The sequence below is a fragment of the Homo sapiens genome, chromosome 3, assembly GCF_000001405.40.
Source record: "Homo sapiens chromosome 3, GRCh38.p14 Primary Assembly".
NCBI lineage: Eukaryota > Metazoa > Chordata > Mammalia > Primates > Hominidae > Homo > Homo sapiens.
Window position 1 is genome coordinate 104,818,598 of NC_000003.12, and position 26,352 is coordinate 104,844,949.

A 26,352-nucleotide genomic window follows, 5' to 3' on the forward strand; every position below is an offset into this window, starting at 1 on the left:
AACCAAGCACAGTTCTAAGGGGCTCTCTGTATTAGCTAATTAATTACAACATTCCTATGAGGTAGGTACTCAGGAACCACGTTTTACAGATGAGTAAGCTGCAATGTTGAAAAGATGATTTAAATATTAGATAAAGTATTTCCTCAAATTGAACTACTCTTTTTGTTTAAGGTAAACATTGTAATAGCTGTATTATTACCTCTTCCAAGACATTAGGCTGCCTTAGTAAGTTATGGCTCACGGAAGTAAACAGTATAGATGATTTCAACTCATAAACACAGTATAATTCTTGAATATGTTTTAAATATATCATCCTAAAACTGAACCCTGACTTGACTTGCAACTTGGTTCTGAAGTGGTACAATGGTCAAATAACAGACACATTTGGCAAAAAGTAAAATGTAGGTTTTTATTAGGCAGTTTTCAATAAATGAATCAAAAGAAATCAAGAACTATTGACCTAAAAATATTTCTTCAACCTATTAAACATATTTGGAGAGCTATAGAAAAAAAAGCCCCTGACATAACAGATAAAATAAACTATGTCTGAAAGAAATATTAAGTTTCAAGCAAAAATAGTAAGCTGTAGGGATTACTGCACTGTCCCATATGGGAGTCGCTGTCCACATGTGGCTATTGGGCACTTGAATAAGTGGCTAGAACAAATTTGGATATGGTGTAAGTACAAGTAAGTACAAGATCTTTAATTTCACAAACTTAGTATTAAACAAAGGTAAAATATCTCATTAATAAATATTTATATTGATTGCATTTTGAAAGTATATTTATGATGTATTGTACATATTGGATTAAATAAAACATATTATAAATCAATTATGACTTTTATTTTACTCCTTTAATGTGGCTATCACAAAATTTTAAATTATTTACAAGTCTCTCATGCTCTAAAACATGTGGATGATGCAATAATTCTCTCTTGCTTTGTGGATACTATAATATGTTAGTCTCTATAGATAAGAGTGTTATAAGAAATTATGTTTAAAAGTCTTAAGATAGGAAGCCTTTAGAAAATCATATACGTAATATACCGTCATGAGCTGTTTAATGACAGTTTAGTCAATGACTAACTGCATATATGAGGTTAATCCCATAAGATTATGATGGGACTAGCCTCACTGTATTTTTACTGTACCTTTTCTAGGTTTAGGTAGGTTTAGGTACACAAATACTTATCATTGTGTTACAATTCCCTGCGATATTCAGTTTGGTAACATGCTGTACAGATTGGTGTCTACCAGCAAAAGGCTATGCCACATAACCTGCATTTGTAATAGGCTATACAATCTAGGTTTGTGTAAATACACTGTAATGTTCACAACAACATTACCTAATAACATATTTCTCAGAATATATCTCTGACGTTAAGTGACACATGACTGTATATAGGTCACTTTAAAAATTGAAATTAAAAGCCAAATATATAAACTAATGTGTATTTTTTTTCAAAAGTCATTACATGGTAGGCTTTTTATAAAGAAACGAAATGTGTTTACTCAAAAGCAGGTGCAAAAACACAACAGAAACTATGACACATGCTAATCAGAACACATACACACACAAAGAGTTGTCATTATATGAGAGAAATAAAAGGTGCCAAAGAGGATCCGGTTGCTTAAAAACCTTTCATGGTACAAAAAAGAATGCAAATTATAACAACAAATATTAAGGCTGTGCTTAATAGTGGTTAGGGGCATTGTTTCTACCCCTACTCTTCCTTGATTCTAGATGTGCCACAGAAACTGTGTGTCCTTAGGCTGGCTGCTTAATGTTATATTCCTGGTTCTAGCTATGTAGAGCCTGAGACAAAGGTTTGTATGCCAGTGGTTTGCTTAATTGTCTGATCCAAGGGAGAAGGCATTCAGGACAACTGGAATAAAAGAAAAGGAAGGAAAGCCAGTGCAAGAATGTCTTAGCAAGTTGGATACTGACTTCAAGACCTTCTAAGAAATTTTACAAAATGTCAGAGCTGTCTGTATTAGGAGGAAATGGGGAGAGCACATTTCCCATTGTCTCCTGACACCCATGGGTTAAGAATAGATGCACAGTCCTTCAGATTTTATTGGTTCATGTTCTGGTTACATGGCCCTGAGCTGTGCTTGTACAAATGTAGAGCTGTGGTTGTTTCATATTGCGGTGCAGAAAAGAGCTAAGAGCAAGATGTGAGAGGTATGCCTAGCCAAGGAATGGTGTGACTTCACCTTTGTTAAGCCCATCAACAACCTTTTGGAATTGGAATTGGTCACTGCAGCAATGGCTGAAAGAAGAGGTAAAGCAAAGGAGTTCTGAAATGATGTACAAGATGTGAAAATATTAAATACTCTCTTTCCCTGCTGACATCCATGTAAGATGGGACTTGCTCCTCCTTGCTTTCTGCCATGATTGTGAGGTCCCCCCAGCCATATGGAACTGTAAGTCCAATTATACCTCCTTTTTTTTTTTTTTTTTTTTTTAAATTGCCCAGTCTCGGGGATGTCTTTATCAGCAGCATGAAAGCAATCTATTAGATTGTTTGGTAAATTGGTACCAGGAATGGGGTGTTTTGAAAAGATATCCAAAAATGTAGAGGTGACTTTGGACCTGGGTAACAGGCAGAGGTTGGAAAAGTTTGGAAGGCTCAGAATAACACAGGAAAAGGGGGAAAGTTTGGAATTTCCTAGAAACTTGTTGAATGGCTTTGCCCAAAATGCTGATAGCAATATGGACAATAAGGTCCAGGCTGAAGTGGTCTCAGATGAAGAAGAAAAACTTGTTGTGAACTGGAGCAAAGGTGACTATTCTTATGTTTTAGCAGAGAGACTGACAGAGTTTGGCCCCTGTCCTGGAGATTTGTGGAATTATGAACTTGAGAGAGATGATTTAGGGTATTTGGCAGAACAAATTTCTAAGCAGCAAAACATTCAAGAAGTAACTTTGGTGCTGTCAAAAGCATTCAGTTATAAAAGGGAAAAAGACCATAACAATTTAAAAAATTTGAAGCCCAACAATGCGAAAGAAAAGAAAAATCCATTTTCTGAGGAGAAATTTAAGCTGGCTGCAGAAATTTGCATAAGTAACAAGTAGCCAAATGTTAATCCCCAAGACAATGCGGAAAATGTCTCTAAGGCACGTCAGAGGTCTTCACCACAGCCCCTCTCATCACAGTCCTAGAGGCCTAGGAGGAAAATGTGGTTTCCTGGGCCGGGCCCATGGTCCCCAAGCTGTGTGCAGCCTAGGGACTTGGTGCCCTGTGTCCCAGCCACTCTAGCCATGGCTGAAAGGGGCCAACATAGAGCTCAGGCCATGGTTTCAAATGGTGCAAATCCCAAGCCTTGGCAGCTTCCACATGGTGTTGAGCTTATGGGTACAAGTCGTCAAGAACTGGGTTTTGGGAACCTCTGCCTAGATTTCAGATGTATGCAAACACCTGAATGCCCAGGCAGAAGTTTGTTGCAGGGGCAGGGCTTTCATGGAGAACCTCTGCTAGGGCAGTGCAGAAGGGAAATGTAGGGTCAGAGCCCCCAAACAGAGTCCCTCCTGGGGCACTTCCTAGTGGAGCTGTGAGAAGAGGGCCACCATCTTCAAGAACCCAGGATGGTAGATGCACCTACGGCTTTCACTGTGTGCCTGGAAAAGCTGCAGACATTCAGTGCAACCCCATAAAAGCAGCTGGGAGGGAGGCTGTACCCTGCAAAGCCACAGGGGCAGAGCTGCCCAAGACCATGGGAACCCACTCTTGCATCACTATGACCTGGAAGTGAGACATGGAATCAAAGGAAATCATTTTGGAGCTTTAAGATTTGACTGTCCTGCTGGATTCCAGACTTTCATGGGCCCTGTAGCACTTTTATTTTGGCCATTTTTTCCCATTTGGAACAGTTGTATTTACCCAATATCTCTACCCCCATTGTATCTAGGAAATGACTAGCTTGCTTTTAATTTTACAGGCTCATAGGCGGAAGGGACTTGCCTTGTCTCAGTTGAGACTTTGGATCATGGACATTTGGGTTAATGCCAAAATGAGTTAAAACTTTGGGGGACTGGGGCCGGATGCAGTGGCTCACACCTGTAATCCCAGCACTTCAGGAGGCCAAGGTGGGCAGATCACCTGAGGTTGGGAGTTTGAGACCAGCCTGACCAACACGGAGAAACCCAGTCTCTAGTAAAAATACAAAAATTAGCCAGGTGTGGTGGTGTGTGCCTGTAATCCCAGCTACTCTGGAGGCTAAGGCAGGAGAATTGCTTGAACCAGGGAGGCAGATGTTGCAGTGAGCTGAGATTGTGCCATTGCACTCTAGCCTGGGCAACAAGAGTGAGACTCCATCTTAAAAAAAAAAAAAAAGACTTTGGGGGACTGTTGGGAAGGCATGACTGGTTTTGAAATGTGAAGATATGAGATTTGGCAGGGGCCCAGGGCAAAACGATGTGGTTTGGCTCTGTGTTCCCACCCAAATCTCATCTTGAATCGTATTCCCATAATTCCCATGTGTTGTTGAAGGGACCTTGGAGGGAGATAATTGAATCATGGGGGGTAATTTCCCCCATACTGTTCTTATTGTAATGAATAAGTCTCATGAGATCTGATGGTTTGATCAGGGTTTCCGCTTTTGCATCTTCCTGATGCTGTGTTTGCCTGCTGCCATTCAAGTAAGACATGACTTGTTCCTCCTTGCCTTCCACCATGATGGTGAGGCTTCCCCAGCCATGTGGAACTGTAAGTCAAATTAAACCTCTTTCATTTGTAAATTGCCCAGTCTCTGATATGTCTTTATCAGCAGTGTGTAAAAGACTAATACAAATGCCTATAAATCCTACTTTTTCACTTGGAAATGGGGATGAGAATGTGGGGGTTCAGTCAGGATAGTGGGAGAAATTGTAAAATTATAGGAAATAACACAAACCCTCTTGGAAGGTATGGGGGTTTGCATAAAGTGTTTGGCTGAAGGTAGCTGAATTATCTTAAAAGCATAGGGCATAGATACATAAGAATGTAGAGTAGTTTAAACAGCTTGTTTACTCATGTGGTCCTAGGACCAACCTTCGATCAACTAGGAGAGCATAATTGCTGTGTACTCGGGAGGTCAGCAGTATCAACTACCCTCTAGTGGTGTTTACTCAAGGCCTTTGTCATTTTATCTATACTGAATAAATGCTAGTTTTGCTGGCAGATCACGGCCGTGGCTGCAACTATTTACAGCACCGTCATTGGTGTCTGTGAGTGGCCCAGACCGTCAGCCGTATTGACAGGCAAAGTATCTGTTTCAGTGTATGTCATTCATCTGTCATTGGGTCAGGTTTTGAGGGACAGACCCCCACAAAACATGAGGATATTATCTTTCTTTTTTTTTTTTTTTGAGACAGAGTCTTGCTCTGTCACCAGGCTGGAGTGCAGTGACACTATCTCAGCTCACTGCAACCTCTGCCTCCCGGGTTCAAGCAATTCCCCTGCCTTAGCCTTCTGAGTAGCAATACAGGCACGCACCACCACAGCTGGCTAATTTTTTATATTTTAGTAGAGATGGGGGTTTCACCATGTTGGCCAGGATGGTCTTGATCTCTTGACTTCATGATCCACCTGCCTCAGATTCCCAAAGTGCTGGTATCACAAGTGTGAGCCACCATGCCTGGCCAAAGATATTATCTTTCATACACTGTTGCTATGAGGATTGAGATATTGATTATAAAACATTTAGCACAGTGTCCAGTACAAGCTCTTGCCTAATAAATATTAGCTTTTTTTTTCTTTTTTTGACACAGTCTTATTCTGTCACCCAGGTTGGAGTGCAATTGTGTGATCATAGCTCACCGTATGTAGCCTTGACCTCCTGGGCTCAAGCAGTCCTCCCAACTAAGCCTCCCAAGTAGCTGGGACTATAGGCATGCACCACCACACCCAGCTAATTTTTAAATTTTTGGTAGAAAAAAGGTCTCACCATGTTACCCAGGCTGGTCTCCACCCCCTGACCTCAAATGACCTTCCTGCCTTGGCCTTTCAGCATGTTTGTAATGCTGAGATTACAAGCATGAGCCATCACACCTGTCTAAATTTTAGCATTTTTATTACTCAGATCAGCTATATCTGATCAGTATAACATGTGATCCACAAATTAGTGGCTTAAAATAAAAAAGCTGTTTTTGTTGTATTGTTTGTCCATTGTGTGTCAGCAGGAGGAATCTCACTATTGTAGTCATCCAGGAATCAAGACTGATGAAAGAGTCACAATTGTGACAATAAGGTTAACAAAGACAAGTCAAGATGAGGGAAATATAAAATAAATTTCAACTTTTATTTGATAATTTTACCTATGCAAGAAGCAGCTCAGAGAATGAAAGGACATCTGTTCTCCCACTATCTTCTCCATATATGTGTCCAAATGACCCTGAGTCCTGGTGTGGCCAAGGACACTGAAAATTATGTATCCATCATATCATATTGAATATAATTGTGTTTGCACCAAGATTTACTATGAGGAAAAGAGGAAAAAATTATATACTCCATAACTAGGACTTCGTGGTAGTTTATAAACACTATAGGGGTCAAACTTATGAAACGTCAGAAAGAAAGGGAAGAGGTTGCATGGGAAAGAACAGCAGTGCAGAGTCAGAAGGAGAACACAGCTGGGCCCTTTCTCTGTTATTCAAAAAAGATACTAGCAAGCCCCATGGCTTTTACTGGCATCTTGTTTTCCAGAGCCCCCTCCTGCTGTGCTAATGAGGTGAAAAGTGACCTGCTTGCTCATTTTCTGGCTCTTTACTAAGGAATGGTATGACATGCTGAAAAACTGACTGCTTGTGCTGTGTTGGAGATTAGATCATGCAATTCCTAACAGATGCTCTTAGAGTTTTTGAAATAGCAAATCTGAAATTTCAAAACTGCATGTGTTTCTCATCTAAAATGCTGAAGGTGTAACAACACTCCTGTTAATTTCGCACAGTTTCACATATGGCTCTTCAATACAATGTGTCACAAGCTACTGGCCTACAAATTACTCAGTTTGCTATTCCAATCAATAATTATGAGCTATGAAGAGCCCTCAAGCGTCCAATTTCATTTGATGACATATTTTGCACTCTGATCCTTCTATCATAAGAAAGTGTTTTTCTTTTGATGGCATTAATATCACCTTTTAAGATCAGTCTTGCAAACTCAGCCCTCAAGGGGCATTTTATATCTTTTGTTACCAGATGAAGGGCATCTCCTTGTTTACGACCTTGAGGTCAGTACAGACAGAATATACATGCATCTGTATTCCTGTGTTTTCATGTGCGGAAGTCAAAAAGACGGGAGACAAGTTTACTTAGAATTGAGAATAGCACAATTTTTCATGAATTATGCTTTAAAAAGAGTACAGTAAAATAGTTAGGGTTAGTATAAAACAAACAAAATTGTATGCATCGGAAAGGCAATGTCTTAATTGGGGCTATTAGAAAAATGTGACATAAATTCTGTGTCATTTAGTCATAAAAACAAAGGAAAGATTATCTTTATTGTACCAGGAGTAGTAACAATAGAAACATCAATAAGATTCCTGATTCAAGTAATAGAACTTTATAAGCAAGATTGAACAGAGCAGAGGCTTAAAAAATTATATTCAGCTTACTAGTGGGGGATCAGAGTTGTATTCTAGCTTTTAAATTAAAGAAAAATTTTAAAGAATGCACAAATTTAAATTCAGAGAGAAAGAGAACTGGTCTCTGAGAAGAGAAGAATGTATATCTTTAGATTCTTTGAGTGGGATTTCTTTTCCTTCTCACTCTTTCCAGTGTTACAAGTATTTGAGGCTTAAGCTCTCTTGGTCATCTAGGGAAGAAATATAAAATTTCTAGTGATAAAACTATTTGATTGTTTAGAGGAAAAAGCTGCTTACTGTGTCTCATGTCACACCATCCAAACTTCCGCACAAAATAGCAATAGATCTCATGAGAGTCCTTGCTGATGTACTTTGGAATCAAAAGGGAGCTGAACCCATGCCCAAAGACTAGCTAACCTCTTGAGCACCAAACACTTTTGGAGCACAGACTAGCTTCATTTGATCAGCAGCCTGATTCTTTTAGTTCAATGTCTTGCAAGAGGCATACCTGAGTGCTTAGTTCTTTTCTGACTTATTCAATTTAGATATACCTCTTCATGATACTTCCAGGAAACCTGTATACCCAAGGAAAAGAGAAAATTCTTCTACCTGTACTTGAGAATGAGAAGGAAACTAATACATCTTGAGGTCCCCAGAGCTGGTAATGTGGTTGGTTGGTTAATAAAACCCTTTTCCACAAACATAAAAAAACTAGTGTTTCTATTAAAATAAAAATTAATTCATTCACCACATGTGATAGTCAGGGAACCTGAGGTAAGTGGAATGTCAAATGGAGAATGGGTGTTGGCTAGAACATAAAATCTGCAAAGATGAAGTCCTCTTGGGGATATATCTGCTTGCTACAGATAGGTAAAGATTAGTAGATAACTAAGCAGTTTAAGCTAGGAACAAAAATTTGATTTGACAAAAGGAAATATAAGTAGCTCATATTTTATGGAATTTGGGGTGTTTTAGGCAGTGAAGACGTCAACATTTTCATAATTTATTGAACTCAGGTTAAGAGTATTGTATTATTTCAAGCCTGATATTATACAACCTAAGAAAAAATTGCCAAACCAATAATGGTGACTATGAAAAGAAAAAGAAAATTTTAAAGCAAAATGCTTAAAAAAAACCAAGATGGCCCTTTCTGAAAATATAAGAACTAGTATAAATACCTAAGGATAGCATCATATAGCCAAGTAAAATTGAATTTCTATCTAGAACAATGTTTCAGAAATATTTTACAGTCTAAGTAATCTAATGATATTAAAATAATATCACTATATGTAGATGATATACACATACGCAGACATACACACCCACAAATAGAGTACCTACCATCAAAGGCTAAAATCTCATCTATTTCTTATCTTAGGCTCATTATATACAACTTACCTAATGCAATCTTCTTCAATATCATAAACCTTTAAAAATAAAATTTAAAAAAGAGGACTATGGGAAAGCCAAAATTCTTGTTATTGCAATTATTGAACTTACACATACAAGATCTTTGAGGAGGGATTTGATCTTGACACAGAAACTTATCAATTGTGTTTCCATAGAAGTAATCATTTTAGGACTCTTGATGCTGAAAAATGTCCTCATTTCTGTCTTGTTGACCATGTACTCATCTCAGGTGCATTAATCCCCCCATCACATTTGGTAAATTGTTACATAGTTTTTTTTTTTCATTATAACAGAAACTTTTATTTGATGTATCTGGCTTCCATGGAGAAGACAAGATGAAAGAAATGTGTTGGAAAATGGTCTGGAGTAGGCATCAACTGTGTGAAGCTAAAGGACTAAACAAAGTCAAAGCTAAAGTTTCTTACAGATCTAATACTCTGATTTCTTTTTTTTTTAATTCTATCTTCTCTTTAAAGTAGATATTCTCATCCTTTGGGACAAGATATTTAACTATAGGTCATGTTCTTCAGCTAACAATATCAAATAGCATCACTTTGTTTTCAAATAGTCTCAAGTTCAGTCCCACCTTACAAGAGGCACTGGTACAATGTATTAATTAAACAATTCATGAACAAAAATTCAGGAAGATTCATAAAACCTAAAATTGATTCACATCATTTAACAAGTTGAGAGATGGGAGTGCACTATGTCCAGAAAGATTTGGTTCAAATATTTCAACGAGACATGATATTTGAAATATTTTCTATTTATTCACACCTAAATTGAACTCACCATGTGTGTTTCCTCAAAATATAAATTTGTTTATGTAAATGGATGCCCTATATGCAAAATACAGGCAGAAAAATTCTATTTAGGCATAAACATCCTATTTTATATGCCTAGGAAGATGTTATAAACTTACACATAAACCTAAAGTTTGAGCATCTGAAAGTGTTTAAAAAAATGGTGAAAAGTTCACCTACTAGCTAACTGGTAGGAAAAATGTGCTACGATTTTCTGCTCATATTCTAAGATAGCTTTAGATTGGTCTTAAATTGAATTTCAAATTATAAAATGATGACCGTAAGTCACTCATGAATTTCTTTAATTCCCCACCTAGATAGACTCACATATATACCTGGCCTGATGCTAGACAGGAGAGACTTTCCAATCTACACTAGTCTCTTTTCATCCTTTTATATAACTACAGATAATATCATTACTTCTTCCTTTGGCTCATCTGAAAATCATATGAGGTATTATTGTTTGGAAATTTAAACCATAATGGAACATATTATTCAGTTTTTCTTTCTTTTGAGTCATACTCTATTTGATTTTGACCATTGAACTAATATTTTCCAATGATTTTCCATTATTTCTTTTGTTAGCTGCCAGCCTATCAATAACTTCAAGTATATCAACTTACTGCAGGTACATTATGATCTTCCTTATTCAGAGCTTTTCTTCTTAAAATAATACCCTTCATTCTAATAATAGCATCGTATTTTGCAAATGTCTCAAATGTGGGAAAAAAAGTCCTAAAAGGGAATGAGTTCTGTTTTTCATTGCATTCCTATAATTACATTGCCTGCACGCTGCCTGACAAACTTATTAGGTGCTCAATGAATACCTAATATTTTGCACGTTTCACTGGCTTTGTAAAAATCAAATAAAAAATATCCTTCAGGACTTCAACAAAAATACGTAGGTTTTACTGATTTTGAAGTCATGTTTCATTTCCAAGCTACATTACTATTTGTGCATTTCACTCAGCTTTAATTAAAGTTAAAACCAAAATACCTTTACACCTATACAAAAGTTATCCTGGACTCTACTATCAAAGAAAGACTCAAAAGTATAAGAGAACAAGTATAAAAAATATAAGAGAAGGAAAATGGAACATTAAACAGGAATTATTTTATTTTAATTTTCTACTATCAAGAATTTCCAGACTTTTTTTGTGGCGACAGGATGAGAAGGAGTAATGGAGATATGCAGCTAATTATGAGGACACAGAATAAATCTGCATATGAAACATGTAATACCTTGAGCAAGCAATTTTGCAATAAGATAAAATACTCACAATGTTTCCTGTAAACACTGTCACATCGAAAGCCTATTTCATTTGAAGCTTATTTCTGAAAGAATCACCAAGAAATATTCTGTTACTATCAGAAGTAACTTTGACAAATCTTTCAATAAATTTAATAAATTACTTCTAATTTATTACCCCTGACTTTACCTATAATTATTATTCTTATAATTAAATTAATAGTCTAAAGGATTCTGTGATAATAGTGGCATTTTTGTATGGCAACCAATGATTGATGATCAAATGCAAAGCAAACTAGTAATTTATCTCAGCAAATTATCCACTATACACACATTTCAAGGCATCACAACTTACTTGCTGTAACTCAAAGGATTATCTTTTGACAAGCTTTCAGTTGTGTTTCCTTAATTAAAGGACGCCTAACACAATACAGGTTAACTCTTCCAATCTAGATGCTGGTAGATATATCCTGGGATTTGCCACCAGCAAAGGAGACTATATGCCTTCTTCATTTGCATGCAGCCTGGTAGAAGAAACTAAAAAAGCCTGTGCATGAAGAAGTAGAGGGACTCCTAGTACTGTATACTGATGGCTATGGAGAAATGTGTGTGCCTAAACTTTCCTAGGGAGCAGAACAGAAAGACTTGACAATTCTGAAGCACACTCTTTATTATTGAGTGACATATTTAATTTCCAGTGAAAGCACTGACACAGTTTTTCCAACTTGTGATTTGCTGAATGGTTTACAATTGTTTTGCCCATCTGAAGAAATCTGTAACATAATATTTATTTACTTTTTAAATTAATTTACTTTTTATTTATTTAATTTTTAGAAACAGAGTGTCACTTTGTCACCCAGGCTGGAGGGCAGTAGCACTATCATAGCTCACTGTAGCCTCAAACTCATGGGCAGAAGGAATTCTCTCACCTCAGCTTCCTGAGTAGCTGGGACTACAGGCACACACAACACCTGGCTAATTGTTTTAATTTTTTATAGAGATGGCATCTTGCTATGTTGCCTAGGCTGGTCTCAAACTCCTAGCCTCAAGCAATCCTCTTGTGTTGGCCTCCCAAAGTGCTGTAATTATAAGTGTGAGCCACCTCGGCCAGCCAACATAATGTTGATTTATATGAAAGAGTTTTGTGTGATGACAAAGATAATAGATGAGTCGGAGAAGTGAACATATAGATGTATCTTCAGCCACAGAGGGTAACAGAAGAAGCATTTAACTGTACTTGTACTAAAATACAAACAACTTTTCAGCTGAAAAAGTGCTTTTAAGCTTTCTACATACATTTATCTGTTCACTTAGTCAACAAACTGACGTAATCTTAATCCATTCCCTCTACTGCTGACCCACTAAGCATCCCCTCTTATAAAAGGCAAAGCCAGCTAGAAGCATTTAAATGAAACTGCCTTTAGAAGCCTCCAATTCCTATTAGACAGAGAAATGAACAAGATGAAGAAGGAAGGTTAGGGTTTTTTTACAATGAAAACTTTTTTGCATATCATTTTTTAAAAGGCCTTACAAAACTGCATCCTATCAGCACATTTCCAAAACTTTCACTCAAATAATAGTAGTGACATTTTCCTTACATTGCTCAAGTTTGAAGAAATCCCAAAATAGCTCAGCACTAAACACAGACGATCTGCCAAATTCCAAATCTGCAGCCCCAACAACACTCGAAGATAAGTTATTTTAAATATTTTACACACAACTAGCATGGTTACCCACTGCTTTTTGAAGCAATTTGTAAAGCTTAATAGAAGATGATCTTGGATGAAGTTCCACTGTAACACAGTTGAGCATTTCTGCTCCTTGAGAAAAGTGGTGTTCAGGGAAGGATGACATTATATTCTGGAATTAAACTCGAGAAGGAATTGGTTTTATTTTTGGTTAATACAATTCACTACATCCTCTGGCATTTTCATCTGTCAGAGAGTAAGAAAGATAAAGAGTAAATCAACATTTTGCTTTACTTTTATTCAACTCCCAGTTATCCCAAAATGAATACCAGAACCCTGTTCTTCTGGCCTTTAAACAATTATACTTCTCATTAAAGTGGTGATATTTGGAAGACAAACCTCATTTTCATCAGCAAATGTCTTCTGAGTGGTCTTTGAGTAACTGCTAAGTAATTCCCACAAAGTCTTGTAAGAATGCTCTGAAATTATGCTGAAAACAGAGTTAAGTGTTTGGGAATAGAGTGAAGGTGGAGGTAACCTGGAGGCATTCTTGACTACTATTATTCTTTTTAAAAATTATTTTAACTCTTATTTTAGATTCAGGGGTACACGTGTAAGTTTGTTACATGGGTAAATTGCCTGACACTGAGGTTTGGGGTAAGACTGATTCTGTAGCCCTTGTACATATGAAAAAATGCTCAACATCACTAATCATTAGAGAAATGTGAATCAAAACCACAATGAGATACTATCTCAGACCAGACAGAGTGGCTGTTATTAAAAGATCAAGAAATAACAGACATCGTTGAGGTTGCAGAGAAAAGAGAACACCTAACCTACCAAATGTCTGGACTTAGTCTAGCCTACCTTAAGTGTGCTTAGCACACTTATAGTAACCTATAGTTGGGCAAAATTATCTATCACAAGGCCTATGTTATAATAAAGTGTTGAATATCTCATGTATTTTATTGGACACTCTACTGAAAGTGAAAACAAAATGGTTGTATGAATCACTTGTAGTAGTTTCTACTGAATACATATCACTTTTGTACCATTGTAAAGTCAAAAAATTGTAAGGCAAGTCATTGTAAGTCAGAAACCATCTTTACTCTGCTAAATTCAAAAGCTATATTCTTCTCCTTCACTTTGTTCTTCTTTTTATTCCTTAAACTTTCCTTCTCTGTCATACTTAAACTAGTAACAAACCTTTTCATACCTTTTATATATGAGTTTGGTTGGCCTTCTCCTTGATGTTTTCTTACCTAAATGTTATCTTCCTTCCTCTTTTACTAGTTACTTTGCTCAAAAAACTCTATTCCAAGTAGGCCAAACTGAGTGCTTTAGGGCAGTGTCCTCTGGACAGACAAGTTTCCCAAGACTTATGATCCCAACTGTAAGTACAGGGATTTCCCAAAACCACTCTCAAGTTTGACAATTCACTAGGGAGACTCACAGAACTCATTGAAAGCTATTATGCTCACAGTCATGCTTATTACAAAGAAAGATTACAAATTAGAACCAGCCAAAGGAAGAGACACCAAAGTCAGAGTCTGGGAGGGTTCCAAAGGCAAAGCTTCTGTTGTTTTCCAGCATCAATATGTGACCATACACATGGAGGACTGCTAACCAGAGAAGCTCGGCTGAGCTGAGCTGAGCTGTCCAGAGAGTTTATTGAGGCTTCATATTTAGGCATGATTAATTAATTAATTACCTACATATTTGAACTCCATCTGCAGCTCCCCACCAACTTTTAGATTAAGATGATATAATGTGGTTCATAGTTGCTATCCTAAACTATATGGTTGGTCTTTATGGTGTGGCCAGGCCCCACTCTAAGACTACTGAGTGTGATAATCCTCACCAAGAATCATCTTATTAGCATAAAATAGGTATAGTTTCAGGGGTCCACCTTAGATAATGAAGATATTTCCATAACTCTGAAAATTCTAAGTGTTTAGAGGCTGCCATCTAGCAGCTGAGGACAAACTCCAGACTTATATTTGGGTGAGGCCAAACTCTTCACTGCACACACTTCATTGAGGCCCTCTTCTCATCATCCTTCAACTGTCTATATTCATTTCTATTGTGTCAACTGATACTAATAAATGATTAATCATTTGAATTTTACCTTTCCAGAATTTCATCTTTGTGCATCTGTTTCCTCATTCATAGCAAAACCAAATATTTTCAAAGTTTATTTCTGTGGTAAAACAATATGATAATGGTTGTGAGGTGCTTTGTAAATTGCAAAACATTATTATTCATCTTTCCAGAAATGCCTAATAAATGACTCTCAAATCTATATCCCAGAGTCCTCTCCTGGGCTTTATTTTCAAGTATCTGTTGGGCATTTTTACCTATGTAACTCAGTGACATCCTTAGATCTGTACTTTCAAAGTCAAACTCATTATCTTTCTTCTAAATCCTTTCTCTCATGGGTTTCTCTCTCTGTTAATGACAACATTCTCATCAAAGTTGGAACCTGGAGTCATTTTTTTTTTCTCTCCTTTTGGTTTCATTTCTAATCAGTTGCTTACATTCAATACAATCTGTCTCCATGCTGCATGTAGCTGTGTTTCAAATCTCCTTATCTTTCATTTGAACCAACATAATAGACTTGTTTATTCCCGTGCTATCTCCCTCTAACTTTGACCAATAAATGGACGAAGTTAGAGGGAGATAACTTGGATTTCTAAAATAAGGTTAAGATTATACTCTTTAGCATCTCAAAATTCTTCAAGAGCTCCCTGGTGAATTAAGAAGTAATAATCCTTTACAGTTGCATAATAATGTTTTGCAATTTACAAAGCACCTCACAATCATTACCATATTGTTTTACCACAGAAATAAACTTTGAAAATACTTGGTTTTGCTATGAATGAGGAAACTGAGATGCACAAAGATGAAATTCTGGAATGTTTCGGTAACTGACAGAGATTTACATCTTATCTATTATATTCAAATCCACTCTTCTCTGAGACAGAGGTATATTCCTCATGTAGTCATCCAGTGTATTCTATTGCAAAGGCATGCTGTACCTTTTTGATCTTATGTGCCATCGCCAACACCCACTAATTCTATATTTTAGTTAAATTCTACTACTCACATATCTCAGTTTTGAATCACTGCAATTTTATTTTTTGTGCGAAATCTACTCTACCTCTCCCTTTTGTTATCCTATACATTCTCCCAATTCTTCATAAAATCTTTACTGATATTGAGTCTATGTGATCTCTTCTTCATGCTTTTTATTTTTTTGTGTATTATTTTCTTATGTCCACAAGCTTGAAGGTGTTTGTATTCCCAAGTGATGAGTACACATGGGACCTTTCACAGATATGCCACTCAGGACACAAATATTGAATGGACGTATTTCATTTATTTCCATACCATGTTTCAAAGAGTATGAGAATTCCTATGATGGGTTTGACCTAAGCATTCTATATTTGGCAGAAGAAAAAAAAAACAGATGTATGTTAAAGAAAAAAAAATTCTGAGATTTTTTTCAATTGGTAGAAAAATTTTATATAGGACTATTGCAGTAGATGTCAAGACTACTGGCCTAGTGCGGTGGCTCATGCCTGTAATCCCAGCACTTTGGAAGGCCGAGTCCAGCAAATCACTTGAGGCCAGGATTTTGAGACCAGCCTGACCAATATGGTGAAACCGCCCCTCTACTTAAAAAAAAGAACGAAATAGTGGGGTGTGCCACCATGTGTCTGTAATCCCAACTACTCAGGAGGCTGAGGCACGAGAATTGCTTGAACCTTGGAGGTGGAGGTTGCAGTGAGTTGAGAGCCACTGCACTCCAGCCTAGGCAACAGAGCAAGACTCTGTCTCAAAAAAAAGGAAAAAAAAAAGATGTCAAGACTATTGCAATAGAGTAGAGATATCAACTCAACTCTCAATACAGTAAAAACAGCTGGAGATTTATAGCTGTAGGAGAGGAAAGGGTTTTTTTTTTTTTTAACCTATCATAAGGTTTATTGTGGAGGCCCCTATAACAAAGGACAGATTAACAAGAGAAAAGCATACAAATTTACTTAATATAAGTTTTACGTGACAAAGGAGTCTTTATAAATAAAGGGCCAAAGAAACAGGTAAACTTGTGTATTTTTATGCTTATGTTCGATGAAAAGTGGATAGTCATAGAGAAACATGATTGGAGGACAAAAGGATATGACCTAATGGTAATAAACTGGGGGAAATTTAGCAAAGCCTGTTTGTTCAGATTTTCCTCTGGGTCCCTGTGCCTTCACAGATAAGGGTGTTTCTTTCCTCCTGGGATAAGGAGGGCAACACTTCAATGAGGATTTTATGACCTGCTTTAGGGGAGAAGGACAAAGGGAAAGGTGAGAGGGAACTTCTGCTTCTGCTTTTTTTCTCAAAATGCCAAGGTTCAGTATTTTGGGGTAGCATGTCCTGAACCCTATCATAGCTAAGAAGAAGTGGAAGAGTGTCAGTGGATGGAAAATTACCAAGAGGGGGTCATCGGGGTAGGGGTGTTCTTGCTAACCAATTAGGATTCCTGCTGAAGGAGGCGGGGGGCATCAGATATCAAGGGTAGGGGTATTCTTGCTAACCTGACTTAGCAGAATTCTTGCTGCAACTGAACTAAGGAGGTCAAACAAAGAGCTCAAGGAAAAGGCTTAGTTGCAAAGAAGGCTCAAAGGAGTCTGTCTAAAATTTGATCAAGTAGAGAGTTTTTGTCACATGGTAGGTAAGACAGGAGAGAATAATAGTTTTCTTACTCTGAACAGCTACATTTCCCTTAGTTTCCCATTTGAATTAATGACTAATGAATTTTGCCTAATTTATTTTAGTCCGTTTGTATTTTTATCTCATCTACACTAAGGAGATATTATCAGTTTTATGTGAGGCAACTTAACCTCTCATGGCTATCAAGGGATGCACAGTCAAATACTATACCAAGCTTGGATATCTGCCCTATGTATAGTGTCCATATGTTTCTTCATATTAATCTCACTTCTTCTCCCAGAGTTTGCTTTTCATAGCCAAAGAAGTCTCACACAATATCTCTCCCTATTCTCTTTTTCTGCATTGTGTTTACAACCTTTCTTTAGACTTTTTCTGTTTCAATTCTAGCTGTCTCACACTGTGACAATTAAAGCTGTAAACATTTTTTTTTCCAGATGGCAAAGCACGAAGATAGTTCTAAAGTTTGAGATAATATTTTATATGTTCTTTTCAATATGACACATGCCAGTGATTGATAATTTAGTCATATTCTTGATCAAGTCAAATTCTAAACTTTTATCTTTTAGACTGAAGTCTTAAGTGATAGCTTGGAGTTAATAATTCTATGCAGATTAGTTTTTCATGTTTACTAAATTTTACTCCCCTTATACAAAAGTAATCTGCTATTTGTATAGCACTCAAAATTCTATGAGGATTATTACCTACTATACTTCACTAAATTAATACAAATTTTATTTACCCATTTACCAGGTCATATTTCCTGATACTTTAGTTATATAAAAAGATTTTTCCTTTTTGAAATTTTAAGTTGATATTTTTAAAGAATTACCTTCACTTTTCCATTTACTAACACTTATTGTTTTAATTTAATTTTATAATTTCTAAATTCAAGTATACCTGGAAGCACAGAGAATAACGTTCATAATATTTATCCAACATCAAGAATTTTTTAAAAGTTTTGTCATATTACCTTTATTTTTATCAAGGAATAAAAAAGTATGGAATCAGGTTACATCTCTTTGTTTTCCTCCTAAAACATGCCCCCTCATTGCTTTCCCAGATACAATCGCTTGTTAAAATTATTTTTCATGGAGTATAAAAAGACAGTCTTGGTAATTTAACACTATCCAGTTTTTCTGGGCCGGACGATCATCTCTAGACAAGCCTGCTGTATTCCTATCCCTACCAAAATTCCCATGGTTTTCCGGAAAGACAAATGAACCTTTTGAAATTGTGGGCACATAATAGTGTTTGATTTTCATGTGTCCCATGATTTCACCTCCTGCTTCAGCTTTCACATTATAATTAACCAACCATCTCCAGGGTATACATATTTAAGAAAATGAAATGTCATTCTAGTTCAGTCTATGTGACAGCAGAAAACTTACCTCTAAATTATAATCAACAGCAGGTCACATGCTGAGAGAATGACAGGGGGGCAAAGACTATAAGTATATTAGATTGTCACAAAATTTATCTCTTTCAAGCTAAATTAGCTTCAGCAATAATCATTTAAGATATCAAAAGTATCTTTATAAAATGTGTTTTCAATAACTGCTCTGATTCCTGTTAAGAGTTACAAGTATAGTAATAATGATTCATGTCAGAAATATATACTTGAAAATTTAAAAATTAATCAATGTTTATTACTTTTATTCCCTATACTTTCTTTTCAATAAGAGTAAACAGTGAAAATAAGACATGCCACAGGAAGTCTAGAGTCAGGGATTACCTCTATTTAGTCACAAATTTCTGCAATATCACAGCCTAGCTCATCAGTTACTGCAACTATTCAGGGAACCATTATATTGTGGGAAGTAATAAACAGAGGTCAGAAAAACAAATTTGTATATTATAGGAGTTTACTCATTATGATCTAATAACAATTGTTAACCATAATAATACCATGATTACACAGAGGCTTGGAAAATGTGGATCCACCAATGCCCATCCAGAGTTACCCCACAATTACATCAACAAAAACAAATGAAGGAACAGAAAATGAAATACCACATGTTCTCACTTACAAGTGGGAGCTAAATGATGAGAACACATGGACATAGAGAGGGGAACAACAGACACTGAGGCCTATTGGAGGGTGAAGGGTGGGAGGAAGGAGAGGATAAGGAAAATAAACTAATGAGTACTATGCTTAATAACTGGGTGATGAAATACTCTGTACAACAAACTCCCATCACACAAGTTTACCTATGTAACAAACCTGCACATTTCCCACTGAACTTGAAATAAAAGTTAAAAAAGTAAATTAAAATTAAAAGAAGAAACAAATGCAATGTGTAAAATAGGAAATGTAAATGTGACGCTGAGCAATCTACACTGAATTCTGGTTTCTGAAGGTCACTTTGTTTTATAAACAAATTTTAATGCTATAAGCCCCCTGAAAAGGTAAAACCACAGTTTTTTAATTGTCAAGATGACTCCTACACTACATTAATGAATTGACAATTTAAAAAGCATTCCTATTGTGTCTAAAACCTTCCCTGTACAATTTCTCTATTGGCTTCATCTAGGTGATTTGTAGACTCAATATAGAAGCTACCTCAGTAAACTTTTGGGATGACAAACCAGAACTTAATCTGAACATTTTTTAATACACAAACCACTGAGCTAGGTGCAAGGGACGCAAGAATGAATAACAGACATGTGGCTTAAAAGTTAAGAGGAAAAAAGGTATTTAAAACGATCAGTAAAATCCCAATATGACAAAAGGTTTTAGCAGCCGAATATACTAAGTGCAGTGAAAATGAATCCTGGTGATGTGGAAAATTCTGGCACATTTTCATCTTATTTAACATGTGTGGACTTTGGGAGTACAAAAGAAGGATTTTCAAATATAAGAAGTAACAAAGTTGAATGATCCTTATATATTAAACAAATGTCATTCATTTTAAGAGAACTCTGCTTTTGATTACATAATTTCTCTGGAATCTTCTCAATAGCTCGATTAAAGAGTGACACATGTCAGATCACTTTGTTGCAATCACCCACCTGTACTCTGAAATGTGAATCTTTTATTTAATCTGTCCAAGATCCACAAATCTTTACTTCTACTTTCTTTATTATTAGTATTAACTTTCAATCTATAAACTATCAGCATAAAGTGACCTAATTTCAAACAGATTGGTAAGTCACTTTTGTACATTCACTTTTCTAAGTGGTGAAAAGGTTTCTTAGTCTATTTACTGTGCATAAAGTTTTAAAAGTATTTTATATAGAAATCCCTTGGCAACAGTAGATGTTAATGTAATATACTTCCCAAGGAGTCAAATGTAGAACAGAGTGTGATTGAGTGCTTTTCATAAGTTTCAATGTGAGATCAAGAAAATAGAAGAGTTAAATATAGAGGAATTATCTATTATTTTTAGTATTTGTCTCTACAATTCCATAGACATATATATGTATATTCCATAGACATAGATATATGTGTATGTGTGTGTGTATATATACACAATTCCATAGACATAGACATATAGTTTTTAAATTTACAGATTATTTTTATACATCATTGCAAGTTTTATTTTTCTGAAATGTAACATTACATGTTTGCATTTAAGCAATATTGGTCTGTTACTTATTTTAGTTTTCATCTTTGATCTGTTGTTTACAAATTCGACAGTAAGAAACATAAAAGTCCTAAATAGAGAAAAAAGAAAAATACCACAAATTCAAAACCTAGAGAGAAAACCAGGAGTAGCATGTGGGTGGAGGGAAGGAGAGATGGGGAAGTGTCAACAAGCAAATAAAAAAAAACTTATTTATTAAACAAAAGAGAAGATTATAATTGGAAAACTTATGGTCATTTTTTAAAGACTATATGTTAACTTTGAGTCATATTTTTTTGAGGATGTATTCTATGGATATAATGGGACAAATGAATAAATATATATGAAAAGGATATTCACAGTAAGTTGTTTTTATTACTAAAATACTGAAAAAATCCAAATATCCAAGTGTAGGATGTGATTTTTTTAAATAAATTTTAAGACAGGGCCTCACTCTATCACCTGGGCTCTAGTGCAGTGGCATAATCAGGGCTCCCTGAAGCCTCGTCCTCCTGGGCTCAAAGCATCCTCCCATCTTAGCCTCCCAAGCAGCTGGGACTACAGGTGTTCACCATCATGCCAGGCAAATTTTTTAAATTGTTTATAGAGACAGGTTCTCGCTATGTTGTCCAGGCTCTTGGGCTCGAGAGATCCTCCTGCCTTGACCTCCCAAAGAGCTGAGATTACAGGTGCGAGCCACCATGCCCAGCCAGGATGTGCTTTTTTAAAAGTATGCTTCAAGCATATGAAGGAATGAAGGCAATGTTTGAAAAGGAACTTCCACTTATTAACCTGAATGAATATTCATGACAAATTTTGCAGGGAGAAAAACAAATTACAAAACAGTATGTAAAGTAGGTCCCCATTTCATAAAGATAAGGCATATATATATATTTGTATTGCATAAGTCTAGAAAAACAAAAATAAAAAATTTAATGATGTTATCTCTTGTTCATACAATTATGTAAAATTTTCCCTTTTCTTTTAGTTTAAATAAGTTTTTCAGGTTAATTTTTATAACAAACGGGTTAATTACTTAAAAATAGTTTTAAACATGTTCTTGATAGCGCAGCTGCTGGAAAGAAAATGCAAATGTGGTAAGGAATTAGTCTAAGATTTCAATTCCATTACAGATATAAAAAATGTAATGCATTAAGTGAGTGTGTGTCGATTAGATATACATGAAGTAAAGCTTCTCTGGACACTAGAAATCAGATAGAGGCCAATAAGGAAATTCTCAATTTCTTCAAATATTGAAATAAATAAAACAATCCACTGTTTCAAGCTATGAACACTAGGATCATGCAGATATTGACTATGAGCCCGACTCCATGAAACAGTTGGACAGTGATTTCAATTTAATAAGCAGGTGCCAGAAAGTATGAGAACTGAGGGTTCAGTAATAAGCAGGTTCTTGCTGTCCCTCTTTAACAGCCAAACATGACTTTCCAAGCCGTACATCTATGACATCTTTTGATATGCAGGGCACATTTTAAAAGAAATGCCGCCTAGTTAGGTGAGAAAATATGGATCCCAATTACCTGTTTATTCAGTGGTAGTATCCAACATGTTTTAAGAGGTCTCAGATCATGAAATGTATAGTATAAAAGCCAGTGCCCTTGCCAGCAGACAGGTATTGCTTGTCAAACTTTTGCAGAGGAAGGATCAAAATATACTATTTTTTTTTGTCCCTTCTCTAAAGGTTCTACTTCACAAACTGTTGCCACAGAATCTTACCTGTAATCTTAACTACGATTTGTCTCTACTTAGGGGTTTAATAAATGACTGTCTTAAAGCACAGGAGGGAAGTATAATCTGATCTATTCTAATGAATTCTGACAACTTTATGTTTCAATTAGATAAAAAAAAGTACCTTTTTCATGAACCTACATGTTATTTTTCATTTTTAAAACATAAAATTAATAATCAGTATATAAAATTCTGAAATACACATCAAAAATTATAAAGAAAAAAGCCATTATTCTTAACACTTACACCCAAAGAAGATTATGATGATGACGATAACAAAAACATTAGTGATGGTGATAATAATGACATAGGAGCTAAAATACATTATGCATTTCCATTATCCTGGTGCTATGCTCAGTGTTTTATGTACATATTTTTACTGATAATATTTTTAAAAAATCCTGATACTGTTAAAGCAGTAAGGAAGACTGTATTCTGGGCCACTATAAATGGTGTTAAGACTGTTATAATAATGGAGAGACATCAGGCTCAACTCCAAATATGGCAAAGACAACTGGGTACTTATAGCTAGTGAGTAGAATGAAGAGTTCAGTGGATGAAAAATTACTTAGAGAAGACATCAAGGCTAGAGGGTTTCTTGCAACATGGGCCTAACGTGATTTTTCCCGAAGGTAGGCCAAAAATTGTACAATAAAAGTAGGGATGAGGATTTAGATCAGATATTGAGGATGATCAGATGCCAAGGGTAGGAGAATAAGGTCAGAAAGGTGCCCATCATAAAGGTCACACTGAAACTTCTGTGACAAAACACAGGTTAACAAGAGAAAAAATAAAACATTTAGTTATTTTAAAGTTTTATGTGACATGGAGGGTTTCAGAATGAAGACCCAAAGGAGGGCTGTCCATTTTTAGGCTTAGATTTGATGGAGGAGACAACCATGTGAAAATGTGATTGGACAAAAATGGAAAGATCTAACAGTAATAGACTTAATGTGGAAACCCAGCAATATCTAACTGTTCAGAATCTTCTTTGCCTCTGTGTTGTAGCATTTCTTCCTCCTGGGTGTAGAACCTCTCTGGAATGAAGGCCTTAAGACCTACTCTCAAACAAGAACAGGTCAGATAATCTCTTTACGGCCAGCTCCTAGGCCAAAAAGTGGGTGAAGGTGAGGATAATATTCCTAAACTTATGGCTTGCTTTGGGGAAAAGAGGTTCTAGTTTCTATGACCTGACTTGGGAATGACAAATTCTGGTTTATATTACTTACTTCAGGAGGAAATGAGAGTTAAGGGCAGGAGAAGGTCAGACATACCTTGTTTCTGAGGATGTTTCTGAGAACTTTCAATGTTCTTTAGTTTAAAGTTCAGCATGCCAAAGCACCATACTTTGGGTTATCATTTTCTGTGCCTCAACAGGAGGATGCTTGCTAAATTGACCTTGAAAGATAATCACTATAATGAGACTAGGCAGGCCAAAGACAGGGACCAAAAATGAGACCTAGAGAAAAAGAAGGCTCAAAAGAACTTGAACAAAGTTTGGTTGAGGAGAGTCTTTGTGAAAATACAGCTATTGTTATCCCATTTTACACACAAGAGACCTTAAGCCTAGAAAGTTGATTTTTAATCAGAAGAGGGTAGAAGCTTTGAGTAGAGTAATGGATATGTCCCAGTGCAATACTTTCAAAGATGATGGCACAAACAAATTTAAGTGTTTTTTTTTTCTTTTATTCCTTTTTTTTTTTTTTTTTTTAAAGACACGATGTTGCCCAGGCTGAAGTGCAGTGTTGTGATCACTGTTCAGTGCAGCCTTGACAACCTGGGCTCAAGCAATCCTCCTGCCTCAGCCTCCCTAGTAGCCCTAGTAGCTAGGACCATAGGCATGCACACCCATACCCAGCTAATTTTTTTTAAAAATTTTCTGTAGAGACAGGATTCCGCCATGTTGCCCAAGCTAGTCTCAAACTCCTGGACTCAAGTGATTCACCCACTTTGTCTTCCTAAATTGTTGGGATTACAGGCTTTAGCCACTGTGCCTGGCCAAATTTAAAAGTTTAACAAAGGTTGAGCCAGTAATTATTTGCAGAGGTGAAATTACACTTTTGCTTTCTAACTCTCAATCATGAGCTTGTAGGAGGAAAGGGATTTCTTTCCTCATCAATTACAAGATTCACGGTGAAAACATATAACAAAGCACAGATAACAATAGAAAAGCATACAAATTTATCTAATAAAAGTTTTATATGACACAGGAGACTTCAGAAATGAATACTCAAAGAAACAAGGAAATCTGTGTGCTTTTATGCTTAGGTTTGATGAAAAGTGGCAGTGGCAGGGAAGTATTAGACAAAAGGGGCTATGACCTAAAGGTGATAAACTTGAGGAAACTTAACAACTTAGCAAGGCCTATTTGTTCAGATTCTCCCTGGCATCTTGGTGACTTTGGATCCTTTCTATAGGGAGAGTCTCTCTGGAATGAAGATCTTATGACCTACGTTAGAAGAAGGTCAGATAATTACATTATAGCCTGCTTCATGGAAGAAAGGTGGGAGAATTTCAGAGAGACCTTTCTATTCCACTCTTTTCTCAAAGGCTAAGGTGCCATATTTTAGGGTAGCATGCCCTGAACCCCATGAACCCCATCAAGAGAAGAAAGTGTACCCCGATTCCCACTACCAGTGTGTATTCATACATCTATTCACACATGCACACACACACAAACACACACACACACACACATATATATAATATATAATTCTTTTAAAGAAGCATGTGGTCTCAATTCCTACTGCAAACTCCAAATTATTTTACTATTGGTCATTTCAAAACCAATGGCCACAGTAAGAATCTCCATGCAGCTATCTGTACTTTGCCAAGATACCGCAGTTTATTTTCAAGATTGCTGTCCTTCTACTTGGAATCTATTCTCCCCATACATGCCTCCCCACACGTGCCTACTTTTGAAAATTATTCAAAATACATAAATAAGAAAATCTCTGGGCTTTTTCTAAATTTAGTAACCCCTTTTCACAAATGTTTACACAATTTATTCAAATGATATCACATCATCTGTAATAACATCCAAGAAAATAAAACATAGTAGAAGTTCAGAAAGTTGTGCTGGTTATGAAGACCTTGTTCTCGAAGTGTTAAGAGTTTAAGGTACAGCTCCAGTCATTTCCAGGGTCAAGTTAATAAATTCTTCTTTATTTTTTAATGCATCAGGGCCTGTACTTAAATTGTTCCACTGTTCCCTATTGTCCTGACACCCACATCTATACTCAACCATTTTGTTTAAATGAAAGAGCATGTTTAACTTTGTAATACAAAGCACAGCTGAATCATTGACACTTCAATCAGGCTTTTTTATACTGAAATCACAGTAGGATATCCCTTTTACTGAGAATGTATTGACACTAAAGTAGAATTGATTTCAAACTAAAAATGAAAGGCAAAACACATCAATATGTGTGTGTATCTGCATAACAATCCAGTGTAATTTTATTATAACTGTGTTTACGGTATAGAGAACTCAAGGTTAGATCTGTATCCGACTTGTCTATTTCTAGTTTTAGAAATTAGAGAAATAAAAAAGAAATTAAGACAACTTTATTTATGGAAAAGTTTAGTAACTCATCTTCTAGG

The 26,352-nt window shown here is 36.1% G+C and overlaps 1 long non-coding RNA gene across 6 annotated transcripts in view; it reads right to left on the reverse strand.

Moving 5' to 3' along the window:
• LOC107986108 (uncharacterized) overlaps positions 1-26,352 on the reverse strand; it is a 279,502-nt gene that overhangs the window by 188,117 nt on the left and 65,033 nt on the right. For 5 of the 6 annotated variants that reach the window (XR_001740831.1, XR_001740830.1, XR_001740833.2 and 2 more), the window contains one exon: positions 11,062-11,116. This is a non-coding gene — a long non-coding RNA (uncharacterized LOC107986108). Of the gene's footprint in view, positions 1-11,061; positions 11,117-12,628; positions 16,294-26,352 lie in introns of those variants that run through there. The other variant, XR_001740834.3, reaches the window with a different exon arrangement.